A 22061-nucleotide genomic window follows, 5' to 3' on the forward strand; every position below is an offset into this window, starting at 1 on the left:
AAAGGAATTTACATTGCTAATTGGCACTGAAGGTGATTCTGACATAAGTTGTATTTCGCCTTTGATTCTACATTCCCACCCCATACTACAATGCTTTTGACAAGCTTGAAAGAGGATGTTCTTTAAAGTTGACTTTATATTCCTTAATTTCTCAACTTCAATCTTAAAATATGTTTCTGGGGCCTCATTAAATTTGTTTAAAGTGTGTACCTATTCTTATTTTAATATTTCTAGTATGAAATAACTCTATAGGGCTTGTATTTGCCAACAATATCCTATTGTTTGCTAGTATAAACATTGAAGGCAGATATAGCTCCTAAACGTATTCATATATATTCTATTTATTTAACAAAGTTTTTAAAATCTAAGTATCTAATATCACATGTCTTTCACTGACTTTGGCTCTATAGCTGTAGGCAATCAGTCTTGCAGTGCATTAGCTACTGTATAGCCCTAATCTTCTTTCTGAACAGTTCCATTTCTTTTTCATCATCATTGCTCCTTCCCTATATTTCAGACCATGATATTTTCTATACTTATTACATCAATTACAATAACCTGTCATCTTTAGCGTATAGCTTATTTTTGTCCCAAAATTCAATTTTTAAATTTAAAATATGAAAATATTTTCATCAGATTCCCATTGACTCAATGTTTCTTTCTCTTTTTTTTCTTTGAGACGCAGTCGTGCTCTGTCACCCAGGCTGGAGTGCAGTGGCGCAATCTCGGCTCACTGCAACCTCTGCCTCCCAGGTTCAAGCAATTCTCCTGCCTCAGCCTCCTGAGTAGCTGGGATTAGGGGCACCCACTACCATGCCTAGCTAATTTTTGTATTTTTAGTAGAGAAGCGGTTTCACCATATTGGTCAGGCTGTCTCGAACCCTGACCTCATGATCCGCCCTCCTTGGCCTCCCAAAGTGCTGGGATTACAGGCGTGAGCCACTGGGCCCGGCCGACTCAATGTTTCAAATCACTTAATCAGAAATTAACATCTCTTGTTATTTTGTTTAGCCATGGAATAGTGATTCTTGCAGCAATTCAAGAGTTTATAAAACAAACATATTTTGGTTAAATGCAATATCCCCAAACTGCCAAGCCAGTCAAAAACCACAGCTAATCATCGTACCCTGTCATCATATCTGTATTTTACCTACAGATTTAAAATAAATGTATACCAATTCGAATAATAGAGTTAAAATAACAAAAAATAAACAAACCTATTATAGCATACTGAATTTCCCCCAAATATAAATTACAAATCAATAATCATAAATGAAAGATATTTTATGGCATTTAAAAAAACTTACCTGGTACGTTAAAATTCTTCATCACTTAATATTATCTTCTTTTCTCCAACTAGTGAAGCATTAGGCTTAAATTATCATTTCTAGTGCAGTATTCTTTACGTGGTAGAAAAACCAAAAATAATGTTCATTACACCAGAATGAATGTAAACGAACTAAAAGATTATCTACCAGAATGAATGTAAAAGAACTAAAAAATTATCTATCACATTTCTTCTACTCCTTTTTCCCTTTGTTTTCAACTCCAGAGAGTTGAAAGAATAGAGAGAAGGTAGGTGTTGTTTTCCTGGACCACATTTAAAAAAACATTAAATACCAAGGAACCTGTGGTTATTTTACATGAATAACAAATAAAAAGGAGTGTTGATAGGCACTGCATATTCAGTAGTGATCATCTTAAGAATACATGAATAAATGCTTGTAAATCTATTTGTAAAAAATACAAAAAGACTTCTTCTAGCCTTCTTTTATCTTGTATCAATGGATAGGTCATCTGCCTGCTATTCCATTTTCTCTAACTCCTTTCCCTGAAGCTGAGTTCTGAAAATTATTATAAGGGTTTGAACTGTAGTGAAGTACTCATCTGTAATTACTATATTTAGACTTGAAGTTTTTGTTGATGCTTCAGTTTATGTGTTACCATAGATTGAAAGCAGACAGTACAAAAAGATTTTTGAATGATGGCATGAGAAACTCTACAGAACCTTTTTCCCAGCCGAATGATCATAGCTGATAAAAATTATTTTTTTAAAAAAAGAACTATTTAAAGTCTCTAGAAACTGTCTTATGGGTAAGTAGGAATGGAGGACAAGAAAACTTAAGAAATTTACCAAATCTTAATATGAACAGTGAAAGTTAGTGGCATGTGAACCATAGCTTGCTCTGTCTCCCTGCCTCATGGCTCAGAATGATGGAAGCTCAAATCCCAGTGGCTATAGCCAAGAACACAGGACTCCCTTTCCCTCTACCTTTTATTCTAAAATTATGGCATCTCTCCAGGAAGTGCAGAATACCATCATTTCTCATCCTCCACCCCTGCTTTGTTTTGCATAAGCTCTATTCCAGACAAGGCTGGATAAGAAGAACAGGACTTTCTTCTTCCATCCAGGCCTCATTTAGAGAGGGGAAGCCCCAACAAAGGAACAGGAGGCCAGGAACACTGAACCCTTATCAGCCTCACCCCAGATCACTTGTAAGTTACCTGTTCCATGCTGGTCAGGCAGCCCAAGAAGACTAGAAGTGATCACCACTTGTCAGTGCCCTATTCATAAAGCAAGGGAGTAACTTGAATAAGAGAAGCATCTCGTCCCTACCCATGCTTTGGAGTAGGGTTCAGAGTTGCTTCTCGGAAGGAGAGTGAAAACATAAGAGCAGAGAGCTCCATGGGCTTCATTGCCTCTGTTTGGAACAGATTGTGAAGAAGTTCAACCCTAAAGGTGCTTTCAAAAACAATGGAGACTTCAGTAGTAAACAGTAAAGAAGAGGCTGGTAACTCCTTATTAGCAACAAGCTAAACATTGGACTAGCTAGAAATTTATCAGAGAAAATCAAGAAAGAGAAAGATGAAAAGAGACCACCTAGCATGTCAGTGAAAGCCTCAAAGACCAATCTTAAAGTCTATAAAAGGGCCCAACATCAATTATATCACAAGTGAAACAATTTATGCCCCACCCAGGCATTGTTAAAGCAATAGAATCAGCTGGCAATTAGTGGAGCCTAACTTCTGGGTGTGATATCAGCAGATGTAGGCAGCATAACCGAGATATCAAGGAAAGCAACTTTTGAGTCCCCTCTTTCATAGTGAAAGCCCACATGCCAAAGGCTGACCCATCTGAGGACAAAATTAGATGTTTCACACTGTGGCTGAAATATACTTCACTAGAAGATACTTACAGGCTTTTATTATAAGCCCCAGCCTGTGCTCCACACAAGGTTATTGCACAGATAACTTTTCTATACTAGCACTCTTGCTTCTTTCTATTCTTTCTTGCTTGGGCTCACACAATCTTATTAACTCCTATTTAGCAGGTCCAATTAATATAGCTTTAAAGGCAGATTTCCATGTTTCTGTTTTATAACACTACATAGAGGAAATGTCCCCTAGTCAGACACCCTAATTATCTCCATAATATATTTAGGTAAATTAAATAAAACTAGTTAACACATTCAAACACCAGTTTTACTCTAAACTTATTTTTTTTCTATTTTACATTTTCTTATACACCCAGTAATGCACCTCTCTGAGAGAAGAAACAATCATACCTGAATTTCACTGGTAACCTTTACTTTCAGTAACTGACTACAGCATATCTGCTATTTTATACCATGGGGAACCTCATGGCCACTTGTAAATCAAGCTTCCCTATCTCCTTCCCTTTCATTACTTCTCTTCTCAAAGCACAGATTTCAATGAGCCAGGATCATGCTAGTGACTCCCATATCTGACACCAACTATTCTGACACCAACCCTAACTGAGGTAGTACAATTCAATTCTGCCATGAACCACCCAGAGTTAGCACAGACTCAAGAAGTTAAAGGGCACAGTCCACAACAAGATTGTCTTCAGTTCAGATCAACTGGCTACAAATCGAGAATATTTCCACCACCCTCCTCAGGTCTTATAATTTCACTAGAACCACTCATAAGACTGAGGAAAACACTATACTTAGCATTACAATTTTATTAAAAAGGACTCCACTCAGAAATAGCAAAACAAAGAGATACACAGGGTGAGGTTCCCAGGGGTCTGGAATATAGAATTCATATGCCTTCTTAGGTTGCATCATTCTCCTTGCATGTCAGTGTGTTCACCAATCAGGAAAGTCCACTGAGCATTAGTGTCCAGGGTTTTTGTTGAAATGTAATTACATAGGCATGGTCAATGTAATCCATTGGCCACATAATTGAACTCAATGTACAGCCTCCCTCCCTTCCACAGAGGTTAAGGGTAAGGCTGATATTGTTGGCACAAAACTGCAAGCCTCTAATCATATGAGTGGCCTTTCTGACATTAGCAGCCTCAATCTTAAAAGCTATTTAAGGTCTTACCATGAGTCACCTCATTAGTACAATTTCAAGTGTATTTCAAGGGGGCGTTGAATAACCAAGATACTTCCATCATTGGAAAGTTATAAGAGTTTTTAGAATTTTAGTGGTAAGAAAGTGAAAGAAAGGCCAGACAATTTTTAAATTATACAACAGGAACTTCAAAGTTGAAAAGCTTATATAAAAAAAAGAACTCATATGAGTAACCAGAACCACCTTCTTAAAACACTGAGAAAAGTAAACACACACATACACACAGCAAATATTAAAGGGTAATAAATATTAGAGCAGAAAGTAACAAAATAAAGACTGGGAAAATAAGAGAGATAATTAATGATACCAAGATTTGGTTCTTGGAATAGACCAAAATATTGACAAACCATTAGTTATATTAGTAAAGAAAAAAAAAACAGAGACAGGATGCAACTTAATATCAAGAATGGAAGAAGAGGAGATATGGCTACCAATGTTGTAGAATAATAAAGAGGCTTATAAGAAAACACTATAAACAACTTATGCCAAAAAATTTGGTCACTTAGACAAAGTGAACAAATTCTGAGAAAGTACCAAAACTGACTCACAAAATTATAGCAAATGAGAATAGATCTATAACAAGAAGCTGAATTAAAAAATTAAACATTTCTAATAAAAAAAACTCAGTCCTAGCTGGGGAAGGTTACTTATGCCAGTAATCCCAGCACTTCAGAAGGCAAAGGAGGGCGATCATGAGGTCAAGAGATGGAGATCATCCTGGCCAACAAGGTAAAATCCCATCTCTACTAAAAATACAAAAATTAGCCAGGCATGGTGGTGTGCACCTGTAGTCCCAGCTACTCAGGATGCTGAGGCAGGAAAATTGCTTGAATCTGGGAGGCAGAGGTTGCAGTGAGCTGAGACTGCACCACTGCATTCCAGCCTGGGCGACAGAACGAGACTCCATTTCAAAAAAAAAAAAAAAAACCCAGTTCCAAAACCCAGTTCCAAATTGCTCAATGATTTCTACAAAACATTGAAATAATACATATAAATTCTTCACTAACTTTTACAAAAATATTAGAAGAGGAGAGAGCACTTTCCAAGTAATTCGATGACGCAAGTATTATGCTGTATCAAAACCAGAAAAAGATAGAGAAAAATAAAACTAGAGGCCAATGTCTCTTACAAAAATATATGTAAAAACTGTCAGGAAAATACTAGCAATTGAATCCAGAAACATAAAAAGATTACACACAAAGATCAAGTGCAATTTCTTCCAAGGATGCAAGAGTGCCATAACATCTTAAAGTTAATTGATGTAACACACACTATCTCAAAAGACACAGAAAAAATCATTTGACAAAATTCACACCCCATTTATATCAACTATATAAAGTGTCCAGAACAAGCAAATCTATAGAGGCAGAACTTTTATCAGTGGTTGTCTAGAGTTGAGGGTGGGGGTGGCTGTAAAAGTAGAGCGACTGCGGCCAGGCACAGTGGCTCACGCCTGTAATCGCAGCACTTTGGGAGGCCGAGGCGGACAGATCACAAGGTCAGGAGTTTGAGACCAGCCTGGCCAATATGGTGAAACCCCATCTCCACTAAAAATACAAAAATTAGTTGGGTGTGGTGGTGGACACCTGTAGTCCCAGCTACTTGGGAGGCTGAGGCAGGAGAATCACCTGAACCTGGGAGGCAGAGGTTGCAGTGAGCTGAGATCACGCTACTGCACTCCAGCCTAGGCGACAGAGTGAGACACTGTCTCAAAAAAAAAAAAAAAAGAAAAGAAAAGAAGACAAAAGAAAAAATTTAAAAAGCAGAGTGACTGCTAATTGGAGATGGAGTTTCTTTTACAGGGACTGCTGTTAAAATGCTCTAAAATTGATTGTGGTGATAGCTGTGCAACATTGTTTATATACTAAGATGCAATGAATTGTACACTAAGCGGCTAAATTGTATTATATATTCATTATATTACCATAAAGCTTTTGAAGAGAAAAATTGCAAAAGTGCAAACGTAAAGTCAAGTGGAAATGACACTCCAAGGTATATGAATAGAATAAAAGGAAAGAAAAATATACAAGTATATATAGTAATGAGACCTACTTAATTAGATGCATAGAATTATATGATCTATTTCAGTCACTATATTAAATTTGGCATAATACAGAAGACATGTAAGAAAACTAATAAAGCTCTTAGATTCTCATTTGAGCAGACCCCCAAATGAGATGTTTTTTATGTCCCAATTTTAAAGATTATTTTGCTCTGGAGGATTTAGGATCTATTTTTTTCATTAGTTTTCAGAAGAAAAAATCATTTACTTAAATCAGAGCTGGCTTTAGTAACCACAAATTTTATGCAGTCATATTAATATTTGAGAAAAAATATATTTAAATCTAAATATTTCACCCAGGAAAATATTATAAATTATGGTATTTGTACCTTTGGCTTTACAAAAATTAAAACAAAAAAAGCCCTGAGTGTTTATTGAAATAAATACTAAATATACTGTTAACAAAAAAAAAATCTCAGCAGAGTCCTGCTTCGTGTTATATTAATGTTATATTAATGTTACAGCTACTACTTTTTCCTTTTTAATGTTTAATAAAATCATGAATTATCATCAGAAATCTAAGAATAATTCTCTAAAACTGCACTGCTTTCTCACAATGTGTAATTCATCTAAATACAAAGAAAAAAATAACTTACACCCATACACCAAAAAATTAGTATCCTTTAGACACTTTGATCTCATATACAATACGTATTTTTGCTCTTGTGTACTTATTATCCTGAAAAATAAATCTCTAGAACTTAACAAATATAGTCAATAAAACGTAACTTCACTGTAATTAGATTTGCAGTAATAAAGTAGTATGGAGTTTACAAAATTTAAAGAAAGTGAACATATTATATGATGTATTGTACTAATTAGGTTTGTTTTTATTTTTATATTTTTTGAATTATGCATTTACTATAATTCTTCTGGGTGAAAGCAAAACAAAATTCACCTTTTATTTTTTGAAAGAGTGAAATGAAAAGGTCAAGTTCAAGCCACCTAAAATTTATAAATGTTCAACTTTTGTATCTTCTAACAAAATTAATTCAATCTATCCCTTTATTATTTTATTGATTTATATATTGTTGCTGAACACATTTATTAGCTGCCTAGCTTGGCACTATAAATACGTGTGTGTGTGTGTGTGTGTGTGTGTGTGTGTGTCTGTATATACACGTTAGAGAGATATGTTTTCTACATATTGGGACAGTTGCTGTGACAGTCTTCTCAACTAATAAATACAACAATTTTTCAGTGTGCTTTATTATGGAACCATTTTACCTGTAATATGGCGTACTTTGAATTTAATTTCAACTTCCTTACCATAGTTTTGTAAATAAGACTAAAGGAAATTTGTGCTGGAGGAAGAGCAATGTTGCAATTATTGCCAATATTTCCAAATAACTAAAAGAACGAAATTGTAATGTTTCCCAAACAAAGAAATAATAAGTGCTTGAAGTAATGGAAACCTAATTAGCCTGACTTGATCATTTCACATTGTATGCTTGTATCAAAATTTCACATGTGCCCCAGAAATATATACAACTTTTATATATACATATTAAAAATTTTAAATTGATTAATAAATAAAAATGTTGGGAATATTAAAGAGTGGACCTATAAACTCACTCTTATTACAGTGGTTCCTATTTATTTATTTACTTATTTATTTATTTATTTATTTATTTATTTATTTTTTGAGGTGGAGTCTCCTTTGTCACCCAGGCTGGAGCGCAGGGGCGCAATATTGGCTCACTGCAACTTCCACCTCCCTGGTTCAAGAGATTCTCCTGTCTCAGCCTCCTGAGTAGCTGAGATTACAGGTGCCCATCGCCTCGCCAGGCTAATTTTTTTGCATTTTCTTTAGTAGAGACAGGGTTTCACTATGTTGGCCAGGCTGGTCTCGAACTCCTGACCTTAGGTAATCCGGCTGCCTCAGCCTCCCAAAGTGCTGGGATTACAGGCATGAGCCACTGCGCCCAATCCCTGTGGTTCCTATTTAAATAAAGACATTTTTTCCCCGTCATTCCACTCTTTTTGGTTGTATAAATCTAGCACATAGCATAATGTCCTGAAATTACTCACTTATCATAGGTTTTGAAACGATCGCTTGCTCAAATGTCTTTCCTTCTAAATTGATAGCACAAACTGTGATTTTTCACCATTAAATCTCAATTACTTGGTACAATGTTTGACAGATACTTCGTTTTCAATAATGTTTATTAAAAGAATAAATTATGAATATGTTTAACACCTACGTTAAGGTTCCAGAGAGACAGAACCATATATATTTTATCTCTCATTTTATATATATATGTGAGATTATATATATTATATATGAGATTATATATTATATATGAGATTATATATATGAGATTATATATAATATATGAGATTATATATAATATATAAGAGATTATATATTATAGATAATATTTTTACTAATTATTAATTAGCAAGAGATCTCATTTTCTTAATTGCTTAGAAAATGGTGAACTCTGTATTTAGGTTAAATCACTGGTAGCTTGGAAAACGTTATTGTATCTCTGATAGTTTGTCTAGTTGCTTTTTTTTAATCTTCAAAAATGCCTATCATTTTAATAAAACAGATATCAGGTATGAAGTCTTGGTAAAAATTTGACTTACTCTTTATAAATCCTTATCCAATTTTGATTCAATTTTGTAAAAAACGTTATAAATTTTGCTTAAATGATGTTTGACTATTAATGACCTTCAGATATCCTGTCACTCTTCAAATAAATATTATGTGGCACAATTATCCATATTTCATAGATGGGAAAACAAAGTTCCCCAAATGGGTGATGAGTTTTAAAAATCACGAAACTGGTGTCAGAACTATAATTGAAGCCCAAATTTGAAAGCCGAGGTACGAATTCTGGGCTGCCCACCTTCCCTCTGTACCACATGCTTAAAGATGCTGGACATAAAATCACATTTATGCACATATACAAACGGTTTCAGGCAAACCTCGTAATCCGTAGGATGAGAATGTTCTTGGAGTGGACTGCTTCATCTCTCCCGTATGCTCTTTCTGCTGTGTGTGAGTTAGAGAGTGGTAGTGAAAATCCCGCAGAAGGACGGAACCAACAGGCTATCAGGCGTGTGTGCAGGGAGCTTACTTGGGGAACTGGCTGGCGTTTCAACGCGACGCCCAGAACAGGCCGCACAGAAGCTGCAGGGCTCCGCCACGTCCCAGGCCCCCAAACCAGAGAGGCCCACCGTGTGCTCCTAGTCAGTCCTCCAAGGCCCGAGAGCCCCAGGGGCCACAGGCTGAAGAACCTGGAGTCTGACTCCCAAGGGCAGCAGGAGAGGAAGCAACCGCCCAGCACAGTAAGAGAGAGTGAGCCACAGGGAGAAAACCCTGCACGCTGCTCATCCGCCATCTTCTGTCGGCCGGGTTCCAGCCGCGCTGGCACCGGATTGGCTGGTCCCCCACACTGAGGGCAGGTCTTCTTCTCCCAGTCACCCACTCAGCTGTCAATCTCCTCTGGCAACGCCCTCACAGTCTCTTGAGAAAGAACTTTGCCCAGCCATCTAGGCACCCTCCTCCAGCCACGCTGACCCCTAGGATTAGCCATCACAGATAGTATTTGTCTGCGTGAATATTTATTTGTTATTGAGTCTCACTCTGTCGTCCAGGCTGGGGTGCAGTGGTGCGATTTCGGCTCACTGCAACCTCCGTATTTCTGGTTCAAGCGACTCTCCTGTCTCAGCCTCTCGAGTAGCTGGGATTATCGGCCTGTGCCACCACGCCCGGGTAATTTTTGCATTTTTTGGTAGAGACAGGGTTTCGCCATGTTGGCCAGGCTGGTCTTGAACTCCTGACCTCAAGTGATCCGCCTGCCTCCCCCTCCCAAAGTGCTGGGATTACAGGCACGAGCCACCGCGCCGGCCTGCCTTGCAGATTTCAACTGTGATTACAGCACACTCTGGTTGACAAAAATGGAAGCCTTTTGATTAACTTAATGTATGTAGACAGATTATGTTTAACTAATTTAAAAATCTTTCTTCAACCATTTGGGTTACATTTCCCAATAGCCGGGGAGTCTTTTAGCATCAATGTCCAAAATTTCTGAATTAAAAAAAAAAAGAATCATTGGTTTGAAATGTCTCAAAAGCAATACTCTTTTCTTTTCTGGGTTGATAAAGGATGGAGTATTGTCACAAAATATTAAAATTTATGAGACATCTTGGAAATGATGGGTAAATGTGAAGAAAATACTATAAAGAAATTTTCTGGAAAACCCAGGATTATGATTTTTTTATAGTTTAAAAATCACAAAATTTGATTTTGCAATAAGCCTTCTAAAATTCATATTTCCTACTAAATATAATTTATAAATCCATTTATATCATCCTGACTTTTGCAATGAAACAAAATTGGCTCTAGACTTTCTGCCTGTCTTTTGTGTGAAGTCCATCACCTTCCCAAGATTTCTGCGAATAGACCTGACATTGCTGTGGTCTCTGCCAAATCGGAGTTTCTGCTTTCACTGAATTTACTTATTTCCAACAAGATTGCTATGAAATCAAAACGATGTTGTGTTTTGTTTGTTTGTTATGTTTTGTGTGGTCGTTGTATTGTATAAATCAATCTCATCATTTGCAGGGATTTACAACTCTATAGATAGCAACGATTGAACATACCGTTTCCTCTAATTTCTTAATTTAGAATGTTTTCCTTGCATCTTTGATACAGATTTCCATGACTACAATCATAATACTGCTCCATTCCTCCATCTTTTTGTGAGTATACCATTTCTTTAAATACATCTGAAATGTAGTATGTAGTGTGCAATATAAGAAAGAGAATCTAATCTATTCTGCTGGCAGGTTCAGGGTCTTTTCCAACTTACAACTTCTTTAACCCACACCTACATCCACCATTGGGAGCCCAAGGAACGTTTATATCCATAAATCCTCAAGAGTGTTACACAGCACTTTGACATTTGCCTTCATGACATCATAATAACTCATTACCTATTAAAAAGTGACTTTTTTTTAAACTATTGAATTACATACAGTTCATTGCTGTAACAATACCCAAAACACAATGGTTTCATAAAATAAACATTTACATCTTGCTCACTAGACAGCCATCTAGGGATCTCACAAATGCTAATGCTTAGAATATAGTGAAAACCTGTATAGGGGACTATAAAAATATCTTTCATTGGTCCCTGATTCCACCTGTTATAGCTCCTTTGGGAACTTGAGAATCACCACTACACCCTAACTTCTTCTGAAGGGATCATTGATATGCACACTTTCTGCAGAACTCTAAAGCATTCTCAGCTGTTCTCTTGTTTGAGCGTCTAGATAAAAAGCTATAAAGCTGTTTTAAAACTTGAACAAGCAAAGAATTTTTAGTCTAAAACTTTGCTATATTTAATTATAGTCAGACATCTATGTTGATTAAAACAACCAAAATTATATCAAGACATAATTACAGTTCCTAATTTTATTTCTTTGTTTTTGTTTTGTTTTTTGACACATGGTCTTCCTCTGTTGCTCAGGCTGGAGTGCAGTAGCACAATCGTGGCTTACTCTAACCTCCACCTACTGGGCTTAAGCGATCCTCCCACCCCAGCTTCTCGAGTAGCTGGGACTACAAGTGTGCACCACCATACCTGGCTAACTTTTTTTGTACTTTTGTAGAGAAAGGGTTTCACCATGTTGCCCAGGCTGGTCTCCAACTCCTAGGCTCAAGTAATCTGCCTGCCTCAGTCTCCCAGAGTGCTGGGATAGAAGGTGTGAGCCACCATACTTGGCCTGTTCCTTTGTTTCCTTAACATGGTGTGTTTGTTTGTCTGTTTCTCTCTCTTCTACTAACCCCCAACCCACCTTGTCCCTCTCAATTCAATGGAGACTTCCAAAAGTAGTCTTTTTAACCCTGTAATGCCATGCATTCCAAACTCAACTCCCTTTCATGCATACTTTGTGACCTCGTCAATTCTGTCCTATGTACATATGTTTATTTATAATCTTGTCAAATAAGAATCCAAAAGTTTTCCCAGTATATCATGAGTCTCCATTGATTCAAACTGGTCTATCTGTTTTCTGGTGCCTGCTGTCCTACAAAATAGGTGGTGTTACATATTTTAGGTGTTTTTGTAAATAATATGATTAGTGGGACATTCTGGAAACCACAATATGGATCTCAGAAATAAGAAAGGGTACAAGTCCATACACTGTTATAATAAACCAAGAGTTTCCATAGTTTGGAATTTAATGATGAAAAAGGAAGGAAGGAAGGAGGGAAGGAAGAAAGGAAGGAAGGAAGGAAGGAAGGAAGGAAGGAAGGAAGGAAGGAAGGCAGGCAGGCAGGCAGGCAGGCTAAAAGAATCTAAGAATAATCAAATTTATATGATAACATAATAATAATGATGATATTTGTAATTTTGGAGCCCAACTCTGTGCCCATACTATGGTAAGCTCTTAAAATATACTTTCTCCCTTCACCCTACATATTTTTAGCATGTATACTATTACACTTATTTTACAGTTAAAAAAACTAAACTTCAGAATAATAAAGATGCTTGCTGAAGATGATACACTGCTAAATTTTTTATTCTTTGTTTAGAATCTTTTCATTAAACATTGTTGGGTCCCTTCAGTTATCATAACAAACTCTTATGAATTTGATTTCAATTTATGGTAGGTAGAATTCTAAGATGATTCACATGACCTTGTATTAATCATGTTTTTTTTCCCCTGTATTTTATGATGGTTTCACATCTTGAGAACCTTCCTGCCTATGGAGAGATTGCCCCTTCCAGTGTAATTCAAGCTAACTCCTGGGAGTTTTTAGAGATAAAACACAACTTGCCTTTGAACATACTTTTCATATAGAAATCAAATAGTACAGCCTATGCCTCAAATCACCTTCATTATCTAACTCTCGCACACAATGCCAATTCTTTCCCTATCCTAAATCACCCCAGGGCCAGGAGCAAGCTAGAGACTACCCTTATGTTCCAGAGCCTGTTAAAATTATTCCAATGATCCCATCTTCCCTTCTTTCCCATAGAAAACACAATACAGCCTCTGGGGCAGGCTTTCTCTTGCACCTTCTGCCTCCTGGCTGATCATGGTGCTTTCTCAGATGCCCTTGCATGATGCAGCCTGGCTCCCTTGTCTTGGAAACTTTCAGTGATATTCTTTCAATGGCATTGACCTGTCACCTCTGTAAATTAAAATCCCATGGGTTTTAGACAGCCCTCTTTCTTCTGCAGCCTCCTTCTCCTTGAGTGTGGATGAAACCCATGGCTAAGATGACACATCGCTCCCTTAATTGTATTATGTACTATGGCAATGGGGGAGGTTATCCTGGGCATGTGCTAATCAAGTGTGCACTTTAAAGGCACCACTTTTTTCCAGCTGGTTATAGGAAATTATTTGATTAGCCTGGAAAATGACAAACATCATGTTGTTCATTGCTTAAGGGAGTCAAGTCGTAAGAAATTGTGGTGGCCTCAAAGTGCTGAGGGTTTTCTCAGCCAATAGTAGAAACACAGTGTACCTAGCCCTGAATCCCCGTGGAATGAATTCTGCCAAAAAAAAAAAAAATTCAAGACTGGTAAAAGGATCTTGAACCTCCAGTAGGAACTGCAGCCCCAGTGGATACCTTTATTTCAGCCCAGTGAGACTCTGAACAGAGAATCCAATCACCCTGAGGAGGAATTCTGACCACGATATACGGTGGACCCTTGAACAACACCAGTTTAAACTGCATGGGATCACATACACACAAATTTCTTTTCAACAAATATATTAAAATACTTTTTTAGGGAATATGTGACAATTTGAAAAAAAACTTGCAAATAGCATAGCTTAGAAATATAATAAAAATTTAAGAAAAAATTAGATATGTCATGAAGACAGAAAATATTTGTAGCTACTAGTCTATTTCACTATCACTACCATAAAATGCACACAAATCTGTTATAAAAATTAAAATTTATCAAAATTACACACACAAACACAAAACATACATGGTACCATTCAGTCCAGAGAAATGTAAACAAACATGAAGATGGAATATTAAATAATAACTGCATAAAATTAACTGTAGTAATGCTGTACTACTCTAATAATTTCAGAGCCATCCCCTGTTGCTATTGCAGGGAACCCAAGCGTTGCTAAGATCCACTTAAAATGCCCTGTGAAGATAATCATCTCCATGTGAGCCTCTCATCTCTTCAGTAAATTGCTTATCCCAATAAAAAGCAATCTCTCATGGCTCTTGCATATTTTTTCATTGTGTTCGATGCAACATGGTAAATCTTGAATAACCTATACAAAGTACCACTAGTTAAGCTGGAAGTGTTCACAAGAAGGAGAGAAAAGTCATGGCATTACGAGAAAAAGTTGAATTGCTTGGGATGTACCATAGACAGAGGTCTGCAGCTGCCATTGCCCACCATTTTAAGATATATGAACTCAGCATAAATATCATTGTGCAAAAGAAAAGAAAATTCAGGAAGTCATAGCTGCACCTCTTCCAGCAGTCATGAAAATCTTACACTGTTTGGGAAATACCTTTTTATCTCATATTGAAGATGCAGCTTTTATGTGGGTGCAGGCTGGCTACATAAAAGGCGTAACTATAGACTCATATGATTTGAGAAAAAGTAAAGTCATTATATGACAACTTAAAGCAAAAGGAAGGAGAAGAATCTAAAGCTGAAGAATTTAATACCAGTGTAAAAATGGTTTGATAATTTTAGCAAAAGTTTTGGCTTAAAAAAATGTCAAGATTACTGGAGAAGCAGCTTCTGCCAACCAACAGGCAGCAGAAAAGTTCTCAGATGCCATTAAGAAAATCATTAAGAAGGCAGAATATCTGCCTGAACAGGTTTTTAATGCAGACAAAAGTGCCCCATTCTTGGGGGAAAAAAAAGCCACAAAGGACACTGATTAGCAAGGAAGAGTAACGAGCATCATGATTTAGGCCAGGAAGGGATAGGCTAACTCTTCTGTTTTGTGCAAATGGCAGTCCAATTTATGATCAGGATTGCTCTTATCTATAAAGCTGCTAACCCCAGAGCCTTCAATGGAAAAGATAAACACCAGCTGCCAGCTTTTTGTTTGTACAACAAGAAGCCCTGGACAATGAGAACCCCTTTTCTATATTGGTTCCATCAATGGTTTGTCCCTGAAATCAGGAAGTGCCTTGCCAGTAAGGGACTGCCTTTAAAGTTATTTTAATATGGGACAACACTGCTGTTCTCCAAGAAACTCATTAGTTCAACACCAGAGGTGTCAAAGTGGTCTACCTGCTCCCAAACACAACATCTCTAATTCAGCCTTTATATCAGGAAGTCCTAAGTTGGGTTCTTATGCACAGTAAGAGGAGGATTGTCAATCATCTATGGAGAGGACGGTCAAGGCTATAGAAGAGCATCTTGAGGGAACATCATAGAAGTCTGGAAGGATTACACCATTGAAGATGCCATTGTTGTTACAGAAAAGCCTGGAAGGATTACACTATTGAGGATGCCATTGTTGTTACAGAAAAAGGTGTAAAATCCATCAAGTCAGAAGCAATAAATTTCTATTGGAGAAAACTATGTTTAGATGTTATACATGACTCCACATGATTAAAGACAGAGCCAAATCAAGGAAATCATGAAAGAGATTGTACATATGGAAAAAGTATGGGAGTGGTGGTGTTGTAAATGGTTTCAAGTTACAAATCTTGGAAAAATCAGGAACTAATAGACACCACACCAGAGGGATTAACAGAAGATGACTTGGTGGAGATGAGTGCATTCAAACCAGTGCCAGATAATGAGGAGGACATAGAATAAGTAGTGCCAGAAAACAAATTGACAGTAGACAATGTGGCACAAGGGTTGTCATTATCCAAGAGTGCTTGCTTTTGACTTCTTTACAACATGTATCCTTTTATGATAACTGAGCCCTGACACTAAAGCAAATGGTGGAAGAAGACTTTGTGGAAGAAGAAATATATAGAAACATTTTTTTAGAGAAACAAAAAAGCAAAAAAAGTTACACAAAAATTACAATATATCTGCATGGTTGTGGGGAGTAAAGAGTTATACTTGGATTTTCAACTGCACAGGGGGTTGGTGCCCATAACCCTCACATTGTTACATGGAGTGTTCCTGCCTCTCCTGCTTCCCCTTCCACATCTACCACCTCTTCTTCCACTTCCTTTCCAGGATAGTGGGACCAGCTCCCCCTCTCCCTCCTCCTCTTCAGCCTACTCAACATGATGACCATGAGGACGAAGACCTCTATGATGACCCGCTTCCACTAAATTATTATTAAATATATTTTCTCTTTCTTATGATTTCCTGAATAACATTTCCTTTTCTCAGACCTATTTTAATGGAAGAATAGGCAGTTCCCTTTTTTTTGTTTTGCTTTTTTTGTTTGTTTTTTGTTTCTTTTTCTTTTTTTTTTTTTTTTTTTGAGACAGAGTCACTCTGTCGCCCAGGCTGGCGTGCAGTGGCACGGCATGCTCTTGGCTCACTGCAACCTCTGCCTCCCAGTTTTAAGCAATTCTCTGCCTCAGCCTCCCGAGTAGCTGGGATTACAGGCACCTGCCACCATGCCTGGTTAATTTTTGTATTTTTAGTAGAGATGGGGTTTCACCATGTTGGCCAGGCTGGTCTTGAACACCTGACCTTGTGATACACCCACCTCAGCGTCCCAAAGTGCTGAGATTACAGGTGTGAGCCACCACACCCAGCCTAGGCAGTTCATGTTATTAATAAGGCTTCCAGTCAACAGTAGGCCATTAGTAGCTATGTTTTTGGAAGCCAAAACTTATACTGAGATTTTCAACCACTCGAGCATTGTTGCCCAGATGGTCTGCATTGTTCAGGGATCCACTGTGAATATGAAACTGCCAATTGTGTGGTAGTTTGATACACAGAAACATAAAACTAATACAGGAATTCTACTATATTGAGTTATTTATTTTTTATTTTGGCTCCCTCCCTCTATGATCTAATAATATATTATCCAAAGATTCCAATATAATTGCTATTGGTATATGTTAAAAATCTTTCAAGTACATAGAGAAATTTACAATTGCTCTTTAAAATGTTTTCCTTTTTACATTTCTTGAGAGGTAGGCATATGAGCACATTTCTGCATGATTTTAAAATATATTTTATTATCTGAGTTTTTGTTATTTTTGTTGGCTGCTCAAATTAAATTAGGTCTGTCAAAAAGTAGTCATGCTACCATTTAGAGAAGGATGTAGCAGTGTACAATGATTAAGTTACAAAGTTTAGTAATTTTAAAGTATGCCAATCATTCACAAAATATCAAGTCAAAATCACTTTTGATTTTTATCATATTCTCCAAGCTTTAAACATATACTACATAATATTCTATACAAAAATATCATTCCCTTTTTCAAGTATATGTATATACATATATATGTATATAATATGTGTATATACACGTATTATATACATACACGTATTATATACATATATAATACGTGTATATATACACACATATATATGTGTATATATACATATTATATACATACATAATATGTGTATATATACACATACATATATATATATGTGTATATATATATATATTTTTTTGAGACGGAGTCTCGCTCTGCTGCCCAGGCTGAACTGCAGTGGTGTGATCTTGGCTCACTGCAACCTCTGCTTCCCAGAGTCAAGCAATTATCTGCCTAAGCCTCCCAAGTAGCTGGGATTACAGGCACCCATCACCATGCCCAGCTAATTTTTGTATTTTTAGTAGAGATGGGGTTTCACCATCTTGGCCAGGGTGGTCTTGAACTCCTGACCTCATGATCCATCTGCCTTGGCCTCCCAAAGTGCTGGGATTACAGGCATGAGCCACCGCACCCGGCCTCAAGTATATTTCTAATACATTTAGGCCCTGTGTAGATATTTGAAGACTAAAGCCAAGCACTGAGAAAAAGAATTAAACTTGATTTTCCTAAAATCATGAAATGACTGCAATTTACAATAGAAAGATATAATTACATTATTTCATGATTTAAAGCATTTGAACACTTTTACATTAGCTTTCTTTGAAAAAGCCTTCCAATTATCAGATTAAAAGAATTAAAAAAAAACACACAGCTGTATATAAGTACATATACCTTCATGAATGCTAAAAAAAGCTTTATAGTAAATTTTTAAAAAATATAGCAATAAAAACAAATTATGGCATAACATATGATAAAGGAATTAAATAAAGCATGGCTGTTATATCAATACAAGTAAAAATATTAACCTCAAGTATTAAATGGGGAATCTAAAACAAAAGTTACTTTTCAGTCTCAAATCAAGAAACATTAGAAATGGAATAAAAGAGAGCAACTTGTAATGATACAAAAACAATTTGATAGTAACAAATAAATTCTGTAAATACATATTGATTTGCAAAACTAAAGGTAACTTAAAGAAGCATTGGAATATCATTTTGATAGTATGAAAATGTTACTCATCTCTTCCACTCTACTTGATAATAGATTATTATTTTAGCTATTTATTGATAAGGAGAAAACAAATATTAATTAATTAGACCTTAGTATTATTACATACACAGGAACACATGTGCAAACTCGGTGTTATGAAATCCTAGATAACACCATGAAACAGTCACAGAAGCTGACACTGAGGATAATGTAATATTTTGCAAGAAATGAAAATGCTTCAGGAAATATCCTATTTTTACAATAAATTTAACTAAATGTTAATGACAAAACTAGAAACAAAAATATCTCTAGTGCATAGAAAGTTAAACCTTTCTTAAATGTAAGTAGGATTAAAGAAGAAATAAAAACAAAATGATGTGATATATAGAAAACTTTAATAATAAAGATGATGTCAACAATAATAAACCATTAACATAGATTCAATGGAAAGCAGTTCAAATTCTCTTCAGGAAAATGTATTGTTTTATACATTGATAAAAATGAAAGTAAAATGATTAATCTGAGATATTAATGAGGAATAAGAAATAGTTCAAAAAGAAAAAAAGAAAGAGTTTGAGTATTAATTAATGAAAATATTAAAAATTTATTTCTTAGATATATAAAAATTCATTTAAAAATATAGATTGAGGCCAGGAGTGGTGGCTCACACCTGTAATCCCAGAAATTTGGGAGGCCGAGGCAGGTGGATTACCTGAGGTTGGTAGTTCAAGATCAGCCTGGCCAACATGGTGAAACCCCATCTTTACTAAAAATACAAAAAAAGATTAGTGGGTGTGGTGTTGCACGCCTGTAGTCCCAGCTACTTGGGAGGCAGAGGCAGAAGGATTGCTTGAGCCCAGGAGGCAGTGGTTGCAGTGAGCGGAGACTGTGCCAATGCACTCCAGTCTGGGCAACAGAGCAAGACACCATCTCAAATATATATATATACAGAGAGAGATCAAATGATAATGTTATGGTAAAATATAAAGTGATGCAAATGAAATGAAAAAAATTCTGTAGAATACAAAACTTTAATGTACATCTCCCAAGAAAAGATCATGCCTAGAAAATTTTTCAGAAAAGGTTTTCCAAATATTCATAAAACTAGTTATGAAAAAGCTAATAAATATATCATAGCCTATCAAAAGCTGCAAAACTTGAAAATTATTTTTATGAAACAAACATGACATTGGTCATAAACTCAAGATAGATTTAACATGGAAAACAATACTACAGATCAATCTAAGTAAGTACATGATTGTGTAAGTTCTAATAAAACAGCAAGATGAACTAACTGCATTATAGAAAGATATACCATGACCAAATAAAATTGTTCCAGGAATACACAGATGATTCAATATTACAAATTATGTAAATTATTTCATGTTATTAATAAAATTTTTTCTATAAAAGCTAAAAAGATAGGTGATGAGTCATATCTCAGTTTTGTTTAAAAAATTATATATGGGAATATAATGGAAATAAAAAATATATATTATGCTGTTTTTAAAATGTATGAAACAGCATGATATTTACCGATATTCCAATTAAGTCTGGGAATTAAAAAAAATCCTTTAATGATATTGTGAATATACTACTTAATGGAATTAACCAAGAAAAAGCTATAATCATTATAAAAATTATAATGTAGGTTAAAATGGGAATGTGATGGCTAAATTGATTTCAGTTTTTAAAACAATAAAATAATTCAACAACTTGAAAATAACTGTAATATTCAATATTTTTTCAGCATTCCTTTATACAAACAAGAACAAATTAAAAAGAAAATGGAAGAAAATCTATTAAAGTGGCAACAAAATAGTTAACAAAAATTTTTAAACTAGAAATAAAACTAAGACAATGACAAATATAAAAAATATGGAAAAATCACATGAAATGTATTTAAAAGAACATTATTGTACCCAAATTAAAACATTTAATGTGATCTCAAAACTAGTAAGAGACAATCCACTAATTGAAACACAATTGTGAAGAACATACTCAGAATATAATTACAATAGAGAAAGATAAAAATGTGAGAAACCATGTAAGAAATTCAAATAATAAGGGAAGGGACAAGATGATCAACTAGAAACAGCTGCAGCTGGAGGCTCCCAGCAAGAATGAAAACAGTGAGCGAATCCTGTACCGGCAACCAAGATATCCAGGTTCTCTCATTGAGACTGACTAGGCAGTAGGTGCAACCAAGAGAGAGTGAGGAAAAGCAGGGTGGAGCGACGGTTCATCTGGGAGCTACATGGAGCGAGGGGAGCCCTCACTCCCAGCTATGGGAAGTGGTGACTGATTGTGCTACCCTGCCCGGGAAACCGTGCTTTTTCCATGGATCTGTGCAACCCATGGATCAGGAGTTCCCCTGGTGAGTCAATGCCACCAAGGCCTTGGGTCTGAAGCACAGAGATGTGTAGATTCTCAGTGGCCACTCGGCTGGAGACTACTTAAGGCCACCAAGTTCTTGGGCGAAGGGGTAGCTGTCATCATCACAGATGTCTGCTGCCTAAGGCAACTAAGCTCCCAGTGGGAGGAATGGCAGCCATCACTGCAGCTCTAGTCTGCTGTTTTGATTTGCTGGTGAAAGGGAGACTGGGTGGATTGGATACAGGAGGAATTCCCCACAGGGCAGCACAGCAGCTCTCACAGATTGTGGCCAGACTGCTTCTTTGGTCTGGATCCTGACCCATCCCTCCACACCAGGTGGGGCTTCCCTGTCAGAAGTTCAGCAGTTCTAGCAAGAGGTTTATGAACAGAACTCTGATCTCCCTGGGATGGAGCCCCTGTGGGGAGGGGCAGCCACAGTCTCCATGAATTAGTGCACTTAGTCTTTCATCCTGCTGGCTCTGAGGAATCTGGGCAGTCTGGACTAGAGATGGATTCCTACCAGTGTGTCACCCCCTCTGCCAAGCAGCAGCCAGAGTGCTTCATTAAGCCGATCCCTTATCCTGTGACTCTTGACTGGGTGAGACCCCCAACAGGGGTTACCAGACACTTTGTACAGGAGCTTTCCCAGTGGCAACAGGTCAGTGCCCCTCTGTGACAAAGCTCTCAGAAGAAGGAGTAGGCAGCTGTCTTTGCTGTTCTGCAGCCCCCACTGGTGACACCTCCAGGTGCGGGAGGGACCCAGGTGAATAGGTTCTGGAGTGGAACCCCAGCAAACACTACAGAAGAGGTGCCTATTAAAAGAAAAGC

At 36.7% G+C, this 22061-nt stretch overlaps 1 long non-coding RNA gene across 1 annotated transcript in view; it reads right to left on the reverse strand.

Annotated features, from left to right (window-relative positions):
* The window catches only part of LINC01446 (long intergenic non-protein coding RNA 1446), a 156423-nt gene extending 146620 nt beyond the window's left edge, over positions 1 to 9803 (reverse strand). Inside the window, exon 1 of the long non-coding RNA NR_038371.1 lies at positions 9380 to 9803. This is a non-coding gene — a long non-coding RNA (long intergenic non-protein coding RNA 1446). The remainder of the gene's footprint in view (positions 1 to 9379) is intronic.
* Between the last annotated feature and the right edge of the window lie 12258 nt (positions 9804 to 22061).

The sequence above is a fragment of the Homo sapiens genome, chromosome 7 (genome assembly GCF_000001405.40).
Source record: "Homo sapiens chromosome 7, GRCh38.p14 Primary Assembly".
Lineage (NCBI taxonomy): Eukaryota > Metazoa > Chordata > Mammalia > Primates > Hominidae > Homo > Homo sapiens.